The sequence below is a fragment of the Homo sapiens genome, chromosome X, assembly GCF_000001405.40.
Source record: "Homo sapiens chromosome X, GRCh38.p14 Primary Assembly".
NCBI lineage: Eukaryota > Metazoa > Chordata > Mammalia > Primates > Hominidae > Homo > Homo sapiens.
In genome coordinates this window covers 68,355,211-68,379,195 of record NC_000023.11, presented here as the reverse complement: position 1 = coordinate 68,379,195, position 23,985 = coordinate 68,355,211, and the positions used below count along the sequence as shown (strand labels likewise).

The window sequence follows — 23,985 nt, the reverse complement described above, 5'->3', positions numbered from 1 at the left end:
TTGCTTCAAAGAGAATAAAATACCTAGGAATCCAACTTACAAGGGACGTGAAGGACCTCTTCAAGGAGAACTACAAACCACTGCTCAATGAAATCAAAGAGGATACAAAGAAATGGAAGAACATTCCATGCTCATGGGTAGGAAGAATCAATATCGTGAAAATGGCCATACTGCCCAAGGTAATTTATAGATTCAATGCCATCTCCATCAAGCTACCAATGACTTTCTTCACAGAATTGGAAAAAACTACTTTAAAGTTCATATGGAACCAAAAAAGAGCCCGCATTGCCAAGTCAATCCTAAGCAAAAAGAACAAAGCTGGAGGCATCATGCTACCTGATTTCAAGCTATACTACAAGGCTACAGTAACCAAAACAGCATGGTACTGGTACCAAAACAGAGATATAGATCAATGGAACAGAACAGAGCCCTCAGAAATAACGCCACATATCTACAACTATCTGATCTTTGACAAACCTCACAAAAACAAGCAATGGGGAAAGGATTCCCTGTTTAATAAATGGTGCTGGGAAAACTGGCTAGCCATATGTAGAAAGGTGAAACTGGATCCCTTCCTTACACCTTATACAAAAATTAATTCAAGATGGATTAAAGACTTAAACATTAGACCTAAAACCGTAAAAACCCTAGAAGAAAACCTAGGCATTACCATTCAGGACATAGGCATGGGCAAGGACTTCATGTCTAAAACACCAAAAGCAATGGCAACAAAAGCCAAAATTTGACCAATGGGATCTAATTAAACTAAAGAGCTTCTGCACAGCAAAAGAAACTACCATCAGATTGAACAGGCAACCTACAAAATGGGAGAAAATTTTCACAACCTACTTATCTGACAAAGGGCTGATATCCAGAATCTACAATGAACTCAAACAAATTTACAAGAAAAAAACAAACAACCCCATCGAAAAGTGGGTGAAGGATATGAACAGACACTTCTCAAAAGAAGACATTTATGCAGCCAAAAGACACATGAAAAAATGCTCATCATCACTGGCCGTCAGAGAAATGCAAATCAAAACCACAATGAGATACCATCTCACACCAGTTAGAATGGCAATCATTAAAAAGTCAGGAAACAGCAGATGCTGGAGAGGATGTGGAGAAACAGGAACACTTTTACACTGTTGGTGGGACTGTAAACTAGTTCAACCATTGTGGAAGTCAGTGTGGTGATTCCTCAGGGATCTAGAACTAGAAATACCATTTGACCCAGCCATCCCATTACTGGGTATATACCCAAAGGAGTATAAATCATGCTGCTATAAAGAAACATGCACACGTATGTTTATTGCAGCATTATTCACAATAGCAAAGACTTGGAACCAACCCAAATGTCCAACAGTGATAGACTGGATTAAGGAAATGTGGCACATATACACCATGGAATACTATGCAGCCATAAAAAATGATGAGTTCATGTCCTTTGTAGGGACATGGATGAAACTGGAAATCATCATTCTCAGTAAACTATCGCAAGAACAGAAAACCGCACACCGCATATTCTCACTCGTAGGTGGGAATTGAACAATGAGAACACATGGACACAGGAGGGGGAACATCACACTCTGGGGACTGTTGTGGGGTGGGGGGAGGAGGAGGGATAGCATTAGGAGATATACCTAATGCTAAATGATGAGTTAATGGGTGCAGCACACCAGCGTGGCACATGTATACATATGTAACTAACCTGCACATTATGCACATGTACCCTAGAACTTAAGGTATAATAATAATAATAATAAAAAATAAAAAATAAAAAAATAAAAAAAAAGAGAAGGCTGGGTGCAGTGGCTCACACCTGTAATCCCAGCACTTTGGGAGGCTGAGGTGGGCGGATCACGAGGTCAGGAGATCAAGACCATCCTGGCTAATGTGGTGAAACCCTGTCTTTACCAAAAATACAAAGAATTAGCCGGGCGTGGTAGCGGGCGCCTGTAGTCCCAGCTACTCGGGAGGCTGAGGCAGGAGAACAGTGTGAAGCCGGGAGGTGGAGCTTACAGTGAGCTGAGATCGTGCCACTGCACTCCAGCCTGGGCAACAGAGTAAGACTCCATCTCAAAAAAAAAAAAAAAAAATTAGCTGCATGTGTTGGCGTGAGTCTGCAATCCCAGCTACTCAGGAGGCTGAGGCAGGAGAATGGCTTGAACCTGGGAGGCGGAGGTTGCAGTGAGCCGAGATCGTGCCACTGCATTCCAGCCTGGGTGATAGAGTGAGACTCCATCTCAAAAAAAAAAAAAAAAAGATTACTTGAGATAATGTGAATGAAACCTTCATTAGTTGTATAGTCATCTACAAATATGAAAAGTTAGCCCTTGTGGACAGTGCCTGTGAAAATTGTAATGCTGTTCTTTTAAGTCTTTCCAGGAATCTGATAGTGGTAATTGAATTTTTCATGTCAACAAAGTCATAAATCAGAATTTTAAATCACAAAGCACAGTTGGTACAAGGCACTCTATAAGAGGTACTGAGCTAGATGGTGGGAGGGTAGTGGTGGCCAAGGCAGCCTTCAGGGAGTTTTCTTTGTGCTATGTTTAAGTCTGCCAGCATGGAATAAGGGAAGCATGACTGAGGAGTAGGTGCTTCATGCAGTGTGGCCACACTCCTTCTGTGGCCTTGCCTCTGCCCTTTATAGCAACCAGTAACACACCCACCAAACAGAACCATGTGTAGTTCCATGATCTTTCTCTTTCTTTATCTCTGTTTCCTATCTCTTTCTCCCTTTCCATCTCATTTATCTCTCTATGCTCCCCCAATCCCCAATTCATTCCTTTACACCTACTTCCATCTGCCTGAAGTGCTCTTCCGTGCCATATTTTCCAGGCAAACTTTAAGTTCACATCCTCAGCTTCTGTTTCCCCTCCTCTAGAAAGCCTTCTCTGATCTTTCTGCTGTCCAAGTGATTGCATTGAATTGCAGTTGTTCCATTTGAGTCTCCTTCACTAGAATGAGTTCCTTGAGGGCAGGGATTGTGCTTTGTCTGTCTCTGGGTCCCTGGTTCTTAGTGCTAGGATTGGCATTAAGGAAATGCTTGCTGACTTGAAATAATTGTAAAAGTGGAAGACTATATAGATAACCAAGATTTATCTAGGAACTCCTTCAAGACTTCTCTATTTATACATCTTTTATGAACTGAATCATAAACCACAGATCCAGTGACTGAAGAGCAGATCAGGGGGAGGCTATAGAATATGGTAATAAGGCTATATTGCAAAGTATTGCAAACATAATTCTAGAGTCAGACTACGTTATAGCTCCTTCACTTCCTAGCTGTGGGACCTGGAAATAAGTCGTTTCATCTCTCTGTGCCTCAGTTTTCTCATCCATAAAATGAAGATTATAATAGTCCCTACTTTGTAGGGTTGTTTTGAGAATTATATAATTTAATATACATAAAATGCTTAACCACCCTGGGCAACATAGGAAGACCCCGTCTCTACAAAAAATTAAAAAAAAATTAGTTGGGTGTGGTGGCATGTGCCTGTAGTCCTAGCTAGTCAGGAGGCTGACATGGGATGATCACTTGAACCCAGGAGTTCAAGACCATCCTGGACAACAGAGGAAGACCCTGCATCTACATAGAAAGAGAAGAAAAAGCGGAGACAGTTCCTGGCACCTAGCAAGCACTCTGTAAATGTTAGCTCTTCTCATCTAAGTAAAATAGAGGCATATTCAAATAAAGGAAGTTTGGAATAAGTCTAGAGATCATTTTTTTCTCCTCAGGGATCCCTGTTCTGAATCTTTTTTTCAGATCCCTGTTCTGAATCCTCTCACCTCAGCCTCCCAAGTAGCTAGGACTACAGGTGTGCACCTCCATGCCCTGCTAAGTTTTAAAATATTTTTGTAAAGAGACCAGTTCTCGCTATGTTTGGCAGGCTGGTCTCCAACTCCTGGCCTCAAGTGATCCTCCTGCCTCAGCCTCCCAAAGTGCTGGGGTTCCAGGTATGAGCCACCATGTCTGGCACATTTTCAGTTTTTCATGATTACAGATAGAGCTGCTGTAAACATTATTATATGTTTTTTTTTGTGTGTGAACACACATTATTTCTAGAGGGTAAATGCCCATGGGCAGGACTGTGAGCTCATATATGTACATGTTTAATTTTATAAGAAACTGCCAAACCATTTTCTAGAGTGGCTGTGACAATTTATATTCCCACTAGCAATGTATAAGAATTCCAGCTTCTCTCTATCCTTGGCAGCACATGGTATGGCCACTTTGTTATTTTAGCCTTGCTAATAGGTGTGAAGTGGAATCTTGACTGGGTGTTAGTTTGCTTTTCCATAATGACTAATGACGTTGAACGTATTTTCAGGTGCTTAATTGCCATCCATGTATCTTTGGTCAAATATCTGTTCAAATATTTTGCCTACTAATGTAATTTGTTGTTAATTTTCTTTATTGAATCTTATGTATTCTGTTTACATAACAAAATAATAAAGTTTAGTGAATCTTTTATGTATTCTGAGTATGGGTTCTTTGTCAGATATACGATTTGCTAATATTGTCTTCTAGTTGGTGGCTTGTCTTTTCTAAAATCGTCTTATGAAAAAAATTAGCCAGGCATAGTGATGCATGCCTGTAGTCTCAGCTATTTGGGAGGCTGAGGCAGTAGGATTGCTTCAGCTGGAGAGATCAAGGCTGCAGTGAGCTACGATCATGCCACTGCACTCCAGCCTGGGTGAAAGAATCAGACCCTGTCTCAAAAACAAAACAAAACAAAACAAAACCCCAAATCCTCTTATTAGGGTCTTTCATAGAGCAAAATATTTTAATTTTGATGAAGTTCAATTTATTTAGTGATTTTTTTTTTTTTTTTGAGATGGAGTCTCACTCTGTTGCCAGCCTGGAGTGCAGTGGCGTGATCTCGGTTCACTGCAACCTCTGCCTCCCAGGTTCAAGCCATTCTCCTGCCTCAGCATCCTGAGTAGCTGGGACTACATGCGTGCGGCACCACGCCCAGCTAATTTTTGTATTTTTAGTGGAGACGGGGTTTCACCATGTTGGCCAGGATGGTCTTGATCTCTTGACCTCGTGATCCGCCCGCCTTGGCCTCCCAAAGTGCTAGGATTACAGGCATGAGCCACCGTGCCCTGGATTGTGCTTATGGATGCCTGAGAATATTTCACCTAACCCTAGATCATGGAGATTTTATCTTATGTTTTCTTCTAGACATTTTAGCATTTTAGGTTTTATATTTAGATTTGTTATGTATTTTGAGTTATATTTTTGTGTATGGTGTGAGGTTTATTTAGAAGTTTTTTTTTCTTCCCCCAATTGTACTAGCACCATTTGCCACAACTTAACTGTGACAACTTAGAAATCACTTAACCTGTCATGGCCTCACTCTTCTTTTCTCTAAAATGGGGATAATAATAGCATGTAGTTCATGTGGTTAAAGGAAAGATTCCAGACTACTATTTACATATATAAATGCCTAGCACACAACAAACAGTTATTATTAGTATTCATTTTATAGAGTTTCAAATTTTGAGGTTTAATTTCATGATTGACAAACTTTGATAACATGTAATACACATTGTCCCTTTTCATCCCTTCCAAGGATGTTGGAGTACGTGGGCCAGTGCTGAGGTAGGGTTCTGGTAGATGGGTTTTATTGGGATGATGGCTGAAACCACTTGTAGTCAAGAAATGATAGTAGTTTCCAGCTGGGAGGGGAACTGAGGCCAGAGTCAGTTCAATAAAGGCAAGAGTGTGTAGCCAGAAACACAAAATGAAAAATGAAGTCATATGTGATGGATTAAATGGGTAAAGGAAAAGGGTTCTGGACCCTGACTGTGAATAAAGCAAGATGTTGGGGCTCCCTCTTACAGAAGGAACACTGGTCCTTTATTCTTGTTTAAAAGTGTCGAACTTGGTTTTTCTCTTCAAGATGCCCTTCAGTACTGCGTTGGGAGCCTCTTGCCCTGTTCTCCAAACAAATTCAGTCTAAGACCATGTTTTGCTGTGAGCTCTGCTGCTTTGGTGTCAAAACCTGGTAATGTGCCAGTTCCCCTTTGGGGAGGCTTTCTAAAACATACTGCTCAGCAGAGCTGAAAAGGCTGAAGAACCTTCTCCAGAAGGTGATTGTGCCTGTGGTAGGTCTTGGTCTGGGAGCCATTTCCAAAGCTGGATACCACAGCTACTTTGTCCATCCTCACTATGCTCCCTGGCACTCCATGCCATGTAGGCTCCCCAGCAACTCTCCTTTGTCTCCCCGAGAAAGAGCTGACAGTTGCAATGTCTTTTTTTTTTCTTAAACTTCCTCTTTGATCAGTGTTTTGAGATCCTAGGTGAATACGTTTTTTGTGACAAGCATGTGCAAGATACGCAGAAAGGAAGTAATGCTATGGAAAAGTTGTAGTCACAACCAGTGTGACCAGAGATCATTATCAGTCTGGTCAAGTCACTCCTGCTTGGAGTAGTGTCACTGGAAACTGACACTGCAATTGACATGGTCTTTGAGCTTCCAGATGTGGCAAAACAAATGTTTTATTGTACAGCACCGAAGACACAACTTAGTTTGGTGTTTTATGTGTACATCTCCAAGATAATAATGGCACCTGACTTCAGCCCTTCGTAGTTTAGAAAGTCCTGTCATGTTTCCTATTTAATTTGATTCTTACAATAAGAATGAGAGAGATAGGACAGGGATTATTATTCATGTTTTACAGATGCCGAAACTGTCAGGGAGGCAGAGTTGGAGGGGTACACAGTGGTCAAGAGCATAGGTTCTGAGGCATATTTCGGTAAAATATATAACAACATTTTTGATTTTGACCATTTGTAAGTATACAGATCAGTGGCATTGGTTACATTCATAATGCAATATAACCCACTGTGCCCGGCTGTGGATTTCTGTTGATGTGGAAATATAGTTGTTCCAGTTCCATTTGTTGAACAGACTCTTCTTTCTCTGTTGAATGGATTTGCCTTCTGTGTCGATTTTTGACCTAAGGTCTCTTTTGTCTGATATTAGCAGAGCCACTTCAACTCTCTTTTGGTTACTATTTTCATGGAATTGCTTTTTGCATCTTTTAAGTTTCAATCTATTTTTGTCTTTGGGTCAAAAGTGAGTCTGTTGTAGATAACATATACAGTCATGTGTCACTTAACAATGGAGATACATGGGTGGGCATGGTGGCTCACACCTGTAATCCCAGCACTTTGGGAGGCCGAGGTGGGTGGATCACCTGAGGTCTGGAGTTTGAGACCAGCCTGGCCAACATGGTGAAACCCCGTCTCTACTAAAAATACAAAAATTAGCCGGGTATGGTGGCACATGCCTGTAGTCCCAGCTACTTGGGAGGCTGAGGCAGAAGAATTCTTTGAATCCTGGAGGCAGAGGTTGCAGTGAGCCGAGATCGCGCCACTGCACTCCAGCCCGGCAGCCCGGGTGACTGAGTGAGACTCCGTGAAAAATAAACAAACAAACAAAAAACGGGGATACATTCTGAGAAATACGTCATTAGGCAATTTTGTTGTTTTGTGTATTGACACAAACCTGTATGGCATAGCCTACTATAAACCTACCAAGGCTATATGGTACAGTCTATTGCTCCTAGGCTACAAACCTATACTGCATGTTACTGTACTGAATACTATAGGTAATTATAACCCAACAGTAAGTATTTATATATCCAAACATTGAAGAGGGCTGGGCACAGTGGCTCATGCCTCTAATCCTGGCATTTTGGGAGGCTGAGGCGGGTGGATTGCTTGAGCCCAGCAGTTCAAGACCAGCGTGGGCAGCATGGCAAAACTCGGTCTCTATAAAAAAACACAAAAATTAGCCTGGTGTGGTGGCTCACGCCTATAGTCCCAGTTACTCAGGAGGCTGAGGTGGGAGGATCAATTGAGCCTGGGAGGTTGAGGCTTCAGTGAGCCGTCATAACGCCACTGCACTCCAGCCTGGCTGACAGAACGAGACCTTTTTTTGGAAAAAAAAAAAAAAGAAAGAAAAAGAAAAAACTTGAAAGGTATAGGAAAAATATGGTTATATAATGTTATGGAACCACTGTTGCATATGTGGTCTGTCATTGACTGAAACATTGTTGCATATAACTGTAGTTAGATCCTGCTTTTTAATCCATATTGTGGGTCTCTCTGCCTTTGTATTGCAGAGTTCACACCATACATTTAAAGTAATTACTGATAAGGAAGGGCTTACTTCCGACATTTTGGTTTTTGTTTTCTGTATATCTTTTAACTTTTACATCCTCATTTTCTCGATTACTGCCTTCTTTTGTATTAATTGATTTTTTTGTAGTGGACCGTTTTGAGTCCCTTCTTCTTTTTATGTTTATATTTTATTTGTGGTTACCATGGGGATTACTTTTAACATCCTAAATTTATAACAAATGAGTTTGAATTGATACCAACTTCACACTTATAAAATACAAATCTCCACTCTTTTACAGCTCTGTCCCCTCTCCTGTGTATTGTTGTGACAAATTACATCTTTCTACATACTATGTTCAATAACATAGATTTATAATTATTTTAAAGCACTTAAAAACAAAGTAGGATATAAAAAAGTAGAGTTATAAACAAAAAGTTCGATAATGCTGGCTTTTATATTTGCCTGTGTAGTTACCTTTACCAGAGATCCTTATGTCTTAATGTGGTTTTGAGTAACTGTCTAGCATCTCTTTTTTTTTTTTTTTTGAGACGGAGTCTCACTCCATTGCCCAGGCTTGAGTGCAGTGGTGCTATCTCAGCTCACTGAAACCTCCACCTCCCCGGTTCAAGCAATTCTCCTGCTTTAGCCTCCCAAGTAGATGGGATTGCAGGTGTGTACCACCACACCCAGCTAATTTTTGTAGTTTTTAGTAAAGATGGGGTTTCACCATGTTGGCCAGGCTGGCCTCAAACTCCTAACTTCAAATGATCCACCTGCCTTGGCTGGGATCACCTTCCAAAGTGCTGGGATTACAGGTGTGAGCCACTGTGCCTGGCCGGTTGAGCATCTTTTTATTTCCACTCAAAAGATTCCCTTTAGCATTTCTTGTAGGGCAGGTCTATTGGTAATGAACTCCTGCAGCCTTTGTTTATCTGGGAAGGTCTTACTTTCTCCTTCCGTTTTGAAAGACCATTTTGCCAGATGCAGAATTCTTGGTTGACAGGTTCTATATATATATATATATATATATATATATATATTTCAGCAATTTATGCCATCCCACTGTCTTCTGGCCTCTGTAGTTTCTGATGAGATATTGGCTGTTAGTCTTAATGAGGAGCCTTATACATGGTAAGTTGCTTTTTTCTTGCAGCTTTCAAGACTGTCTGTCTTTTGACAATTTGTTTATAGGATGCCTCAGTGTGGATCTCTTTGAATTTATCTTTCTTGAGTTTAAGCTTCTTAGATGTCTAGATTCATGTCTTTCATCAAATTGGGGACATTTTTGGCCATTATTTCTTTAAACATTCCTTTTGTCCCTTTTTCTTCACTTTCTGGCAGTCTCACAGTATGTAATTTTGTCTGCTTGATGATGTCTCAATGACCCTTAGACTGTTAATCTTTAATTTCTCTATCTTAGTGATATTGTCATTTTCCTGATTTTTTGTTCTGCATGTTTTCCTTTAGCTCTTTTAGCATATTTAAGGCAGTGTTTTTGAAGTCTTTGTCTACTAAATCTGATGTCTGGACTTCCTCAGGAACAGTTTCAGTCAGTTTATTTTGTTCTTTGAGTAGGCTGTACTTTCCTGTTTCTTTGTTTGTCTTGTGATTTTTTTGTTGTTGTTGAAAACAATGTTTGAATATTATAATGTGTTAACCCTGGATATCATATTCTCTCCCTTCTCCAGGAGTTGCTGGGGTTTTTTCTGTGGTTGTTGTTGTTGTTTTGTAGAGATGAAGTCTTGCTATGTTGCCTGGGCTGGTTTTGAACTCCTGATCTCAAGTGATCCTCCTGCCTCAGCCTCCTGAGTAGCTAGGACTAAGAGATGACTAGATTTTTTTTTTTCGAGGAGTCTCACTCTGTTTCCCAGGCTGGAGTGCAGTGGTGAGATCTCGGCTCACTGCAACCTCTGCCTCCCGGGTTCAAGCGATTCTCCTGCCTCAGCCTCCTGAGTAGCTGGGACTACAGGCACGTGCTACCATGCCTGGCTAATTTTTTGTATTTTTAGTAGAGATGGGGTTTCACTGTGTTGGCCAGGATGGTCTCAATTTCCTGACCTCGTGATCCACCTGCCTTGGCCTCCCAAAGTGCTGGGATTACAGGCGTGAGCCACTGTGCCCAGCAATTTTTTCTTATTGTTAAAATTCTTAGTAGTATTTTGGTTTACTTACTTTTCCAAGCTACTTCTGCAAAGACTATATCTTGTCCTGTATGGTCACTGAAGTCTCTGTTCCTTAAATTGTGTTCAGTGAGAATTTTGACACAGAGTTTCTGAAATACAAGGAGCTAAAAACAAACAAATAAACAAACAAAAACCACCTCTACTCATCTTTCCTGATTGGTTGTGTGTGTGGGTACTCCTTCAGCACTTAGCCAGACTTGCATTGCACTTATAAACTAGCTCAAGGTGAAAGCTTAGTCCTCTCAGGAATTTTCTGAGTATGCTTGTTTTCTGGGGCATGCATGTGGCTTTCTAAATTCCCCATATACATGGTTGCGTTTTTTTTTGAGATGGGGGTTCTCACTGTGTTGCCCAGACTGGAGTGCAGTGGTGTGATTATGGTTCACTGCAGCCTCTGCCTCCTGGGCTCAAGTGATTCTCTGCCTCAGCCTCATGAATAGCTGGAACTACGGGTGCACAACACCATGTCCAGCTAATATTTGTTTTTTGTTTTTATTATTTGTGCTGATGAGGTCTTGCTATGTTGCCCAGGGTGGTCTCCAACTCCTGACTTCAAGCGATCCTTCTGCCTCGGTCTCCCAAAGTGGTGGGATTACAGGCATGAGCCACCATACCTGGCCAGCAGTTGCTTTTGAACGTCCTCATTGTCCAAGGAAACCATTCATCTGCCCCCCATCAGCTTTTTCTCCCATGTCTTAGCCAGTGTATTGTTTGTTTCAACTATAATAATATGGCCCAGACATCTGAGGGTTATTAGGTCAGCGTGCAGTGTTTTTGGGCACTACTCACCATTTCTAGCTTGAGTTTTGTATTAGGTAAAACAAACACAAGTGCCTGGCCTTAGTTCTTCAGGTAGCCTCCAGACTAGTTTGAACAGTTGTGTATTAGTCTGTTCTCACAATGCTATAAAGAACTGCCCAAGACTGGGTAGTTCATAAAGGAAAGAGGTTTAATTGACTCACAGTTCTGCATGGCTGGGGATGCCTCAAGAAACTTACAATCATGACCGAAGACACGTCTTCACAGAGTGGCAAGAGAGAGAATGAGTGCCCAGTGAAGGAGGAAGCCCCTTATAAAACCATCAGATCTCATGAGAACTCACTCACCAGCCCAAGAACAGCAGGGGGGAAACTGCCCCCATGATTCAATTATCCCTTGACAGGTGGGGATTATTACAATTCAAGGTGAGATTTGGGCGGGGGCACAGAGCCAAACCATATCAAGAAGTATACAATAATTTGTATTTAAGGTTTGCTCTATTCCCTCTGGAATCAGGGTACAGGGTTGCACACTGGGAACGTAGGCTACCATCACTTTAAAACAAAAAATGCCACTGTGCTAGAGAAAGGGTGGGTTAAAGGCAAGTAAAAATGCCACAAAACTTTCCTACCATTTTGAGGTGACCTGTTTTATGATTCAGCATTCACTTGGGTCACGTAAAGTTTTGACTTTTTTCCAGAGTTCAATAAAGTTGATTCTGAGAGTTTCTGCTTGTGTTTTTTTTTTTTTTTTCCCGAGACAGAGTCTTGCTCTGTTGCCCAGGCTGGAGTGCAGTGGTGCTATCTCGGTTCACTGCAACATCTGCCTCCCGGGTTCAAGTGATTCTCCTGCCTCGGCCTCCTGAGTAGCTGGGATTACAGGTGCACACCAGCACACCCTGCTAATTTTTTTTGTATTTTTAGTAGAGACATGGTTTCATCAGGCTGGTCTCAGACTCCTGACCTCAAGTGATCTGCCTGCTTCAGCCTCCCAAAGTGCTGGGATTACAGGCGTGAGCCACCATCCCCGGCCTCTGCATGTGTTTTTGATGTTTCTGTGGGAGAACAAGAGCTTGGAGCTTCCTGGTCCACCATTTTGCTGATGTCACTCTGACTACTCTTTTTAATCCACACTCCCTAACTTACAGTAGCGTCCTGGCTCCACTCTGTAACCTTGAACTAGTTACTTAACCTCTCTGTTTTCTTTAGTGCAAAGTTGGGTATAAAGATAGTACCTACCTCAAAGGATAGTTGTAAGAATTAAATAACATAATTCATGTAAAGACATTAGTATAGTGTGTGGTAAGTTAAGTGCTCAATAAACGTTAGTTATCTTTGGAAATTACACCATAATTATATGTACCACTAAGAAAGAACAAAATGTCAGTTAGCATGTGGCATGCCATTGATAGTAAAATGTATCGTAATTTCAAAAATGTTAAAATGTAAAATATGATGACTGGGCATGGTGGCTCAAACCTGTAATCCCAGCACTTTGAGAGGCCAAAGTAGGAGGACTGCTTGAGGCCGGGAGTTTGAGACCAGCCTGGCCAACATAGTGACACCCTGACTCTACACACGGGCACACACATACCTGCACATACACACAAATTAATTGTCTGGGCATAGTGGTGAACACCTGTAGTTCCAGCTACTTGGGAGGCTGAGGTGGGAACATTGCCTGAGCCTGGGAGGTCAAAGCTGCAGTGAGCCATGATTATGCCACTGCACTCCAGCCTGGGAGACAGAGTGAGACCCTGTCTCAATTTAGAAAAAAAAGTCAAATAGGTGTATTTTACAACTGATTAATTATCATATCACCATCATTATCACTATGATTGCCAGGCCTCACCTGGTGCAGGTTTTACATTTTGCAGGCAAGGCAGCTAGGCCTAGAGATGGTAAGTGACTTGCTCATGGATTTGTAGGCATTTATGTCATAGCCAGATCTGGATCAGGTTCCCTGACTCTTATTCTGGGTACCCAGAGAGACTGGGGCCCCAGTCTCTCACAACTAGTAGTTTATATTATAAATACTATTCTGTTATGTCTCACTGTTGTAGGTGTGTTAGATTTTCGTCAGCAATGTGCTCAAAGTGAGAAGAATAGGAGGAATTTGTTTTTTTTTTTTGGAGAAAAAGTTGCTGAAGTCTAGCTGGGTAAGTTGAGTCTTTTCTGAGAGCATGAGTGTGGGATTAAAAATCAGATGTCACTCTCTTGCCATGAGACCTTGGATAGTCACTTAGTCTCTTTGAGCCAAACAGTGTTAGAAATCTCCAAAAAAAAAAAAAAGGGAATAATTGCTACTCCATAGAGTTGTTTCAGAGTGTGAAATGGCATCACTTCTAAGAATACTGCCTGGCACATGGTAGATTTCCACTCAGTGTTGGTTCTCTTTTCTACTCCTTTGAGAGAAGTGGGCTCAGTGACATTCTCCCTGCTCAGCTCAAACTTTGTTTATGTTTATGAGTGTGTAGAATTAGATCAACATTGTTCTCTGTGGCGGATTTGTTAGTGGCTGAGGGAAAGGTAGCAGCTGGATGCTGTAATTCTCTCGAGAGACATTCCTACTGCTGAGTGAGGAGGAGAGCACAGCTGTTTGTGGAAAATGAACAAAATGGTAATTGCCTCGTGTCAGCTGGTACATTCTGAGACTTTTGCTCTTGTTGATGTTTTCTTCAGTGGCTGCCTTATGTTAAACATGCCCCTACCCATTTGCTGCACTGGTCTTGTTCCAGCTTCTTCAATATGCTACGTAGGCTCTTTCATCTCCTATACCTTGCTCACGTGGTTTCTCTCAAATTCCAATTTTTTTTTTTTCCTTTTTGTACCTAGCAAACTCCTACATATCCTTTAAGTCTCTGCTCAAATGTCATTTCTTTTGTAAGGCCTTGTTGAATGACTCTTTTGAAGAGTAACATTATTCCTATATCTGGAACCGCATGGTATAATTTATTTGTTTAAATGCATTTCTCCTCTATTAGCGTCTATGTTCATTTGAAGACAGTGGCCATGTTTATTTCTTCTTTGTATTGCACAGGCCTAGCACATGGAGCAGTTATCATAGCTGAAGTTTACTATTGTCCATATTATCTCACAGGCTTTCACACTCACCCTGTAAAGTAGATACTGTTGTTATTCCCATTGCACAGATGAGGAAAGTGAGGATTAGAGAAGTTAGGTAAATCATCAAGGATCACAGGGCAAGGTGATTGAGGAGCATGTAGTAGAAATTTGTTGTGACTCCAAGGTCATGCTGTTAACCTCTGTGCTCTAGCATGGTGCAGTCCAATAGAACTTTCTGTGATTATGGAAATGTCTGTGTGTTCTTTGCAATATAGCTACTGAGCACTTAAAATTTGCCTAGTGTGATTGATGAAATATATTTTTAATTTTATTAAATTTTAATGAGTTGAAATTTAAATAGCCACATGTAGAAAACTGAACTCTGATCTCTTAATGGCTGTCTAGCATTTTCTTTTAGCCTTAACTCAGAATTTCTCTCAACTGTTCTTATTTCATCAATTACTCTATTAAAGAAACTGAATTACATCCTGATGGAAACAGAATGATCTCCTTTTCTTAAGACAGTTATGTATCTTTTAGCAGTCTATCGTTATTATTTAGAGTTGGTGTTAAGGCTGTAGAAATTGGAAAAGTTGTTGGGAATAAATGTTGTCATCACTCTTAAACCCAGTTTTCGACTATATTAAGTATAAAGTACAAAGATGAAACAGATTGCAATAGATTTCTGGGGGAAAAATGTTACTTCTCTGGCTAACACACAAATAGGCAAAAATAATTATTCCAAAGGAAGTTTAAAATCACAGGGATACTACAGTCTAGAAGTGTCCCATCAAAGACACTTGCTGTTGGGCTGAAGGAACAGGAAGTTATGAAAAGCACTCAGTGCCTAAAGTCACTGTTGACATGTCAAGAGGTCCTAGAGAATAATCCAAGACAGGCTGTTCTTGTGGGTAGATGTTAGAGATAGATGAAGAATGCGTTCTTATTAATCATTGAGAAAATCCAGTCTCTCGTACAGCATATGCATTGAATAAGAACTGGGCATGTTCAAGGAACCTTAGTGCTCAAAGAATTCTTTGGGCTCTTCTTGTATTTCAGTTCACACATATTTTAAAAACATTAGTATGGAAAATTTCAAACATACACAAAACCAGAGAGTTTTAATATAATGAACCCTCTAGATTCATCACCCAACTTTTTTTCCAATCTCATTTCAGGTACCCTCAATTCCCCCACCCAAAACACACATGGTATTTTTCTTCTGGAGTATTTTAAAGCAAATCCCAGGTATGTCATTATACCCATATATATTTCAGTATGCATTTCTGATACGGACTGTTTTAGTATATATAACCACTGTGACATCATCATATGCAATACAAATTGTCAGTAATTTCTTACTATCATCCACTAGCCAGTCTATACCTATACTCTCCCAATTGTTTCAAACTGTCTTTTTTAAAAAAGTTAACAGCCAGGCATGGTGGCTCATGCCTGTAATCCCAGCAATTTAGGAAGCTGAGTCAGGCAGCTCATCTGAGGTCAGGAGTTTGAGACCAGCCTGGCCAACATGGTAAAACCCCATCTCTACTAAAATAAAAAAAAACATAGCTGGGTGTGGTGGCACGTGCCTGTAATCCCAGATACTTGGGAGACTGAGGCAGGAGAATTGCTTGAACCTGGGAGGCAGAAGTTGCAGTGAGCTGAGATCGTGCCATTGCACTCCAGCTTGGGTGACAAGAGTGAAACTCTGTCTCACTAAAAAAGAAAAAAAAGTTAATAGATCCTATTTTTAATTTTTTTATTATTTAAATTTTTTTTAAAAAAATTTGTCTTTGAGATGGAGTCTTGCTCTATTGCCCAGGCTGGAGTGCAGTGGTGTGATCTCAGCTCACTGTAACCTCTGCCTCTCAGTTCAAGCGATCCTCATGCCTCAGCCACCTGACTAGCTTGGACTACAGGCACGCGCCACCGTGCCTGGCTAATTTTTGTATTTTTAGTAGAGATGGGTTTTTACCACGTTGGCCAGGCTGGTCTTGAACTCTTGACCTCAAGTGATCCACCCGCCTTGGCATCCCAAAATGCTGGGATTTCAGATGTGAGCCACCGCACCCAGCCAAGATTCTATTTTTCAAAGCAGTTTCAGTTTCACAGAAAAATTGAGGAGAAAGTACAGAGTCCTCATATACCTCCCAAGCCCCCTCCTCCGGTTTCCCCTATTAACATCTTGCATTAGTGTGAGACATTTGTTACAATTGATGAACCAATATTGATTGCTACATTATTATTAAAGTCCATAGTTTACATTAGAATTCACACTTTGAATTACATGCTAAGACTTTTGACAAATGCGTAGTGACATGTATCCACCATTACAGTATCATACAGAATAGTTTCAGTGCTGTAAACCCCACCCCCAACCCCGTGCCTCACCTAGTTATCCCTTCCTCTTTCCCTTTGAGCTCCTGGATGTACTTCATGATGCTTTCATCTATGTATACACGTAGAACGGCTAAATCAAGCTAATTAACATACTCGTTACCTCACGTACTTATTTTATGGTGAGAATATTTAAAATCTACTTTATTTGCAATTTTCATGTATACAAGACATTGTTATTATCTATAATCACATGCTTGACAATGGATCTCTTGAACTCATTCCTCCTGTCAATATGAAATTTTGTGTCCTTTGACCAGCATCTTCCCAATCTCTTCTCATCCCCCTGCTAACTATCATTCTACTCTCTACTTTTATGAGTTAGACTTTTTAGGATTCCACATATAAGTAGATCATGCAGTTTTCACTTCCTGTGCCTGGCTTATTTCACTAGCATAAGGTCCTCCATGTTCATCCCTGTGTTGCAAATGTCAGGATTTCCATAGCAAGAACACAATCAACAGAATGAGGAGACAACTTATGAAATGGGATAAAATATTTGCAAACCATACATATGATAAGAGTTTAATATCCAAAATATGTAAGGAACTCAGGCAACTGAATAGTAAGGAAATGAATAACCTGATTTAAAAATAGACAAAGGACCTGAAAAGACATTTCTCAAAAGAAGACATATAAATGGCCAACAGGTATATGAAAAAAATGCTCAACATTAGTAGTCATCAGGGAAAGGCAAATTGAAATCACAACCATATACCACCTCCTACCTGTTATAATCACTATTATCAAAAAGATGAAAGAGATAAGTGTTGGTGAAGATGTGGATAAGTGTGTACACTTTGTGGGAATGTTAATTAGTATGGCCATTATTGAATACAGTATGATATTTCTTCAAAAAATTAAAAATAGAACTATCCAAAGGAAATGAAATTGGTTGTTGAAGGGATGTCTGCACTCCTGTGTTCATTGCAGCATCATTCACAATAGCCAATATTTGTAATCAGCTCGAGTATCTATCAATAGGTAAAGAAAACGTGGTATGCATACACAACAAAATAGTATTCAGGCTTCTGTAATTTTAATTGAGCATTTGTAGGGTTCCATTTTCTCTCAGCATATTAATTATACTTCTTTTAAATCTTTTTATTTTATTTTACATATATACATATATATTTTTTTTATTTTTTATTTTTATTTTTTTTTTCAGATGGAGTCTTGTTCTGTCACCCAGGCTAGAGTGCAGTGGTACAATCTCAGCTCACTGCAACCTCTGCCTCCCAAGTTCAAGGGATTCTCCTGTTTCAGCCTCCCGAGTAGCTGGGACTACAGGCGCCCACCACCACACCCAGCTAATTTTTGTATTTTTAGTAGAGATAGGGTTCCACCATATTGGCCAAGCTGGTCTCGAACTCATTACCTTGTGATCCGCCCACCTTGGCCTCCCAAAATGCTGGGATTACAGGTGTGAGCCACTGTGCCTGGCCTTATTTTTATTTTTAAGACTACTCAAGTGCAGTAGTGAGAAGGGGGCAAAGAGTAGAACAAGAAGTTTGATTTGTAACTGACTGTGAACAATCAGTTGAGATAACTCACTACCCTCAGACCAGCCCTTCTTTTAAAACTTTTTTTGGTGTTTGCCCTAGAGTTTGCAATGTGCATTTAGAAAGAGCCAAATCTATTTTCAAATAACGCTACACTATTTCACAGGTAGTGTTAGTATCTTATAGCAGAAGATTACCAATTTCTTTCTCGAGTCCCTTATGATATTGTTGTCATTCATTTCAGCTATCCATGCACTGTCATCACTGAATACATTGTCCCTATCATTATTTTAAGCAAATGGTCATCTGTTTTTTGTTTCTGTTTTTGGTGGTTTTTGTTTGTTTGTTTGTTTTTGGGTGGAGCCAGGGTCTTGCTCTGTCACCCAGGCTAGAGTGCAGTGGCATGATCTTCACTCACTGCAACCCCCACCTCCCGGGCTCAAGACATCCTCCTACCTCAGCCTTCCGAGTGGGTGGGACTACCGGCATGTGCCTGGCTGATTTTTTGTATTTTTGGTAGAGACAGGGTCTCACTATGTTACCCATGCTGGTCTTGAACTCCTGAGCTCAAGCGATCCTCCCACCTCAGCCTCTCAGAGTTCTGGGATTATAGTTGTGAGCTACTGTGCTGGTTATCTATTTTATCAACAGCTGGACATGGTGGCTTATGCCTGTAATCCCAGCACTTTGTGAGGTTGAGGTGGGAGGACTGCTTAAGCCTAGGTGTGAGGCACCACGGGGAGTTCAAGACCAGCCTGGGCAACATAATGAGACTCTATTTCTACAAAATTTTCAAAATTAGCTGGGTTTGGTGCCGCGTCACTGTAGTCCTACCTACTTGGAGGCTGAGGTGGGAGGATCACTTGAACGCAGGAGTTTGAGACTGCAGTGAGCTATGATCGTGACACTACACTTCAACTTGGGAGACAGAGTGAGATCTCATCTCTAAAAAAGACAAAACAAAACAAAGCACCTCGAGCCACTCATTTTAAGAGTTGAGCTGATTTACGTAGTGCTACCCAACTATATTTTCCTGTATATGTAATTGCAGACACTGTTCTAAGCACTTTACACATATTAACTTATTTAATCCTCACAGGAAAACTTATAAGGTTGGTGCTGTTAGGATGACCATTTTACAAAGGAGGAAGCTGAGGAACAGAGGGGTTAAGTAACTTGCCTAATGCCACAGAGCAATTACATTTCAGCCTGGTGATTTGAACTTAGGCATTCTGGCTCTCATGCTGTACTAGGCAATTCTTTTTTTTTTTTTTTTTTTTTTTTTTTGAGACGGAGTCTCGCTCTGTCGCCCAGGCTGGAGTGCAGTGGCACGATCTCCGTTCACTGCAAGCTCCGCCTCCCGGGTTCACGCCATTCTCCTGCCTCAACCTCCCGAGTAGCTGGGACTACAGGTGCCCGCCACCATGCCTGGCTAATTTTTTGTATTTTTAGTAGAGACGGGGTTTCACCGTGTTAGCCAGGATGGTCTCAATCTCCTGACCTCGTGATCCGCCCACCTTGATCTCCCAAAGTGCTGGGATTACAGGCTTGAGTCACTGCACCCGGCCTGTACTAGGTAATTCTTAGCTGGTGGTGAGACATCACTACTAAATGTGGATGGGATGGGATGGGATGGATATGTTATTTCTTGGGTCTCTCTATAAACTGTTCCAGGAGGCTCACGCCCCAGGGAAATTTCCTTTCAATTGTCTCTTATATTTTCCTTCTATGATCTTTTGTGCTGCCTCACAAAAACAGAAAGCCATTAGTTTCATCTTCTAGCCACATATGTTCATAAAAGCTGTAAAACCCATGAGTATGAGATGCTTGGAGGCTTGTAGTTATTGTAAATAATTTACAAATCCATATGTACCCCAAATTTTTCTGCAGAATAATAATGTGTGCACTATTAAAAAATATTAAAAATTACAGCTATAATCATATGAGAGGGTAAAAAATATTGAGAGGTATGAAAAATAGTTCATCATACATAATAGGAGGTAAATGTTGCTCAAGAGAGAGGGTGATTGTGAATTAAATTTTTTAAAAAGCAGAGATAAGTAAAAACAAAAACCTTGGGTTAAAAAGGGGAATCCTAGCCACACTGGCTCTTCCAGATGAGAAAACTTTTTCCAAACTGTAGACCAGGGCTGCCATTTTGAGAGAATAGAAAATGATGACATTTGTGAACTGGTAGTCAGAACACTAGCATTGGGGGCTTTTGGCAGTGGTAGTCTTGGATTTGAACCACATTTCCACTGCTTAACAGTCGTGTGATTTGGGACAAGTTACTCAATTTCTCCAACCCTTAGCTTTCTTATCTGAAAAATATAATTCCTGACCTACAAAGTAAACCACAAAATAGGTCACCCAGCAAATAAAGTGGCCAAGAACTTGAGTTTTGATGGTATGAAGTCATAAATAAGATTATGGATGTAAAAGTGCCTAACACAAAACTAGATATTTGACAAAGTAAGAATCCTCTAAAGGCATTAGTCAAAGAGCTTAGTATTAGTATGGTAGACAACAGTGACTTGGGAATTACTATGTTGTTCTAGTTGATTTCTTAACAGCTTTGACCTCTTTATATCATTTGGAAAGAATCAAATGGACCTCAAGAGGTTATTTAGTTCTGTGCTCTGCCTCTTGTCAGACAAACTTCAAAATTCAGTATTCCCTTTGTTATAAATCCTGTTTGAAAAGATATCTAGGAAAACGAGCACATGACCTCCCAAGGTAGACAGTCCCTGTGTACAATGACTTATAAGCCAAATTGACTATTTATTTTCTTTCTTTCTTCATTATTATTATTATTACTTTTTGAAATGGAGTCTCACTCCATTGTTCAGGCTGGAGTGCAGTGGTGTAATCTCGACTCACTGCAACCTCCCCATCCTGGGTTCAAGCGATTCTCGTGCCTCAGCCTCTCGAGTAGTTGTGACTACAGGTGTGCAGCACCATGCCTGGCTAATTTTTTATTTTATTTTATTTTATTTTATTATTTTTTTTTTTTTAGTAGAGATGGGGTTTCACTATGTTGGCCAAGCTGGTCTTGAACTGCTGGCCTCAATTGATCTGTCCCTCTCGGCCTCCTAAAATGCTGGGATTATACGCGTGAGCCACTGTGCCTGGCCCTAATGGACTATTTCTTAATGTAATTAGTACTTGCTACTTATTGCTTGGGTCCCTAAATAGTATGTTTTCATGGAGTAACCAACTTTTCTGGCCTATTTTGGCCTTTAAATATTATCTATCTCAATAAAAACAGTCAAACAAAATCAACAGGCATCTTAACAAAAGCTTGTGGAAGTCAGTGTGGCGATTCCTCAGGGATCTAGAACTAGAAATACCATTTGACCCAGCAATCCCATTACTGGGTATATATCCAAAGGATTATAAATCATGCTGCTATAAAGACATATGCACACATATGTTTATTGCAGCACTATTCACAATAGCAAAGACTTGGAACCAACCCACATGTCCAACAATGATAGACTGGATTAAGAAAATGTGGCACATATACACCATGGAATACTATGCAGCCATAAAAAATGATGAGTTCATGTCCTTTGTAGGGACATGGATGAAGCTGGAAACCATCATTCTCAGCAAACTATCGCAAGGACAAAAAACCAAACGCCGCATGTTCTCACTCATAGGTGGGAATTGAACAATGAGAACACATGGACACAGGAAGGGGAACATCACACACAGGGGCCTGTTGTGGGGTGGGGGCAGGGGGGAGGGATAGCATCAGGAGATATACCTAATGCTAAATGACAAGTTAATGGGTGCAGCACACCAACATGGCACATGTATACATATGTAACAAACCTGCACGTTGTGCACATGTACCCTAGAACTTAAAGTATAATAAAAAACAAAACAAAAGCAAAAGCAAAACACAGATACACTCTGTTTTGCTGAGAGCTAGAGAAATGCTGCGGAAAACCTAGAAGTAGCTGTGAGAATATATATATCCTGGCTGATTTAGGTATCATTCACAGAGCAAATAATTCACCTACTTAAATTGTACAATTCACTGAGTTTTAGTATATTCGCAGAGTTTTGCGACCATCACCACAATCAATTTTAGAGCATTTTCTTCACCCTAAAAAGAAGCCTCATACCAAATAACAGTAACTCCTTATTTTCCCCCATTCCTGCTAGCACTAGGCAACCACAAATCTTTCTGTGTCTGTAGATTTGCCTATTCTGGACATTTTATATAAATGGGATCATACAACACGAGGTTTTTCGTGACTGGCTTCTTTGATTTAGCATAATGTTTACCAGGTTCATCCCTATTGTGGAGACTGTTTTAAAAAATCTCTGCATTTGGAGGTCAGACCTCAGTGTATTCAGAAGGGCTCTCCAGAGACTTAGAACCAATAGGATATGTATCTATATATATATACAGAAAGAGGGGCCTGGCGCAGTGGCTCATGCCTATAATCCCAGCATTTTGGGAGACCAAGGCAAGTGGATCACTTGAGGTCAGGAGTTTGACACCAGCCTGGGCAACATGGCAAAACCCCACCTCTACTAAAAATATAAAAATTAGCCAGGCGTGGTGGCAGGCACCTATAATCCCAGCTCCTCGGGAGGCCAAGGCAGGAGAATCGCTTGAACCCAGGAGGTGGAGGTTGCAGTGAGCCAAGATCATACCACTACACTCCAGCCTGGGAAACAGAGTGAGACCCTGTCTCAAAAAAAAAAAATATTTTAAGGAATTGGCTCATGTGATTGTGGAGGCTTGGCAAGTCCAAATACCTAATGGGAGAGGCAGGCAGGCTGAAGACTCAGGAAGGAGTTGCACTTTGAGTCCAAAGGCAGTCTGCTGGAGAATCCCCTCTTGCTTGGGGGTAAATCAGCCTTTTGTTCTATTTAAGCCTTCAACTGATTGGTTAAGGCCTACCCACATCACGAGAGCAATCTGTTTTACTCAAAGTCCACTGATATAAACATAAATCTCATCCAAAAACACCCCTACAGAAACATCCAGAATAACGTTTGACCACATATTTGGGCACCGTGCCCCAGCCAAAATGACACATAAAATTGTAACATTTGGCGATTTTTTTTTTTTTTGGAAGAAGTCTTGCTCTGTCACCCAGGCTAGAGTGCAGTGGCACAATCTCGGCCCACTGCAACCTCCACCACCCGGGTTCAAGCAGTTCTCCTGCTTCAGCCTCCCAAGTAGCTGGGATTATAGGCATGTGCCACCACCCACACCCAGCTAATTCTTTTATTTATTTATTTTTTGGTAGAGATGGGGTTTTGTCATGTTGACCAGGCTGGTCTTGAACTTCTGACCTCAGGTGTTCCGCCCACCTCGGCCTCCCAAAGCGCTGGGATTACAGGTGTGAGTCAGCACCTGGCCACACTTCGCTATTTTTATCCTGTGAATAGGTAAACAAACCTAACATTGAGGATTGTCTTTCTTGGAAGCATATGCAATTTAAAATTAGCACCAGCAATTGCTGTATTTTGAATCTCTTTGTGTAAACAACTACTCTGAGATAAAGAATGACTTTTGAAATGACCCAGAAAGAATATGGATCTTGCACGGTAGCCTCAAAGCTAAGTAAAGAAAGGAGTTCTTTTCTGTCTTCTTGAAATAGGAAAATATTTCATCTTGAAACTATCTGAGCCTTTCTTCCTGCCCTGGATAGCCTATATCAGCATATGAACTGGAGAGAGAGAGATTAACTACATGTATCAGCCAGAAACTCAAATGATCAAATGTCAGGACTACCTTCAGGTTTTATTGGTCTACGTTCCACAGCAGACATTAATCTTCCACAATGGACAGATGCAATGTTTTATGTACTTCTGTATTTTATCCCTGCCTCTGTCCTATGCAATTTCCTTTCCTACTTTCTTAAAATGAATTCGTTTTCTTGCAGATTCTAGATGCAGTTATTAA

At 40.8% G+C, this 23,985-nt stretch overlaps 1 protein-coding gene across 6 annotated transcripts in view, besides 2 other annotated features; it reads left to right on the top strand.

The window, feature by feature from the left end:
- Positions 1-23,985, top strand: part of OPHN1 (oligophrenin 1) — a 391,498-nt gene that overhangs the window by 54,646 nt on the left and 312,867 nt on the right. The gene's annotated exons all lie outside the window — the stretch shown is intronic.
- Positions 22,849-23,349: an enhancer, noted in NCBI's record as "H3K4me1 hESC enhancer chrX:67575689-67576189 (GRCh37/hg19 assembly coordinates)". NCBI's record gives its function as "activates a minimal SCP1, AML or CMV promoter by ChIP-STARR-seq in primed H9 embryonic stem cells {active_cell/tissue: H9 hESC(primed)}" and the evidence as "EXISTENCE:reporter gene assay evidence [ECO:0000049][PMID:30033119]".
- Positions 23,350-23,850: an enhancer, noted in NCBI's record as "H3K4me1 hESC enhancer chrX:67575188-67575688 (GRCh37/hg19 assembly coordinates)". NCBI's record gives its function as "activates a minimal SCP1, AML or CMV promoter by ChIP-STARR-seq in primed H9 embryonic stem cells {active_cell/tissue: H9 hESC(primed)}" and the evidence as "EXISTENCE:reporter gene assay evidence [ECO:0000049][PMID:30033119]".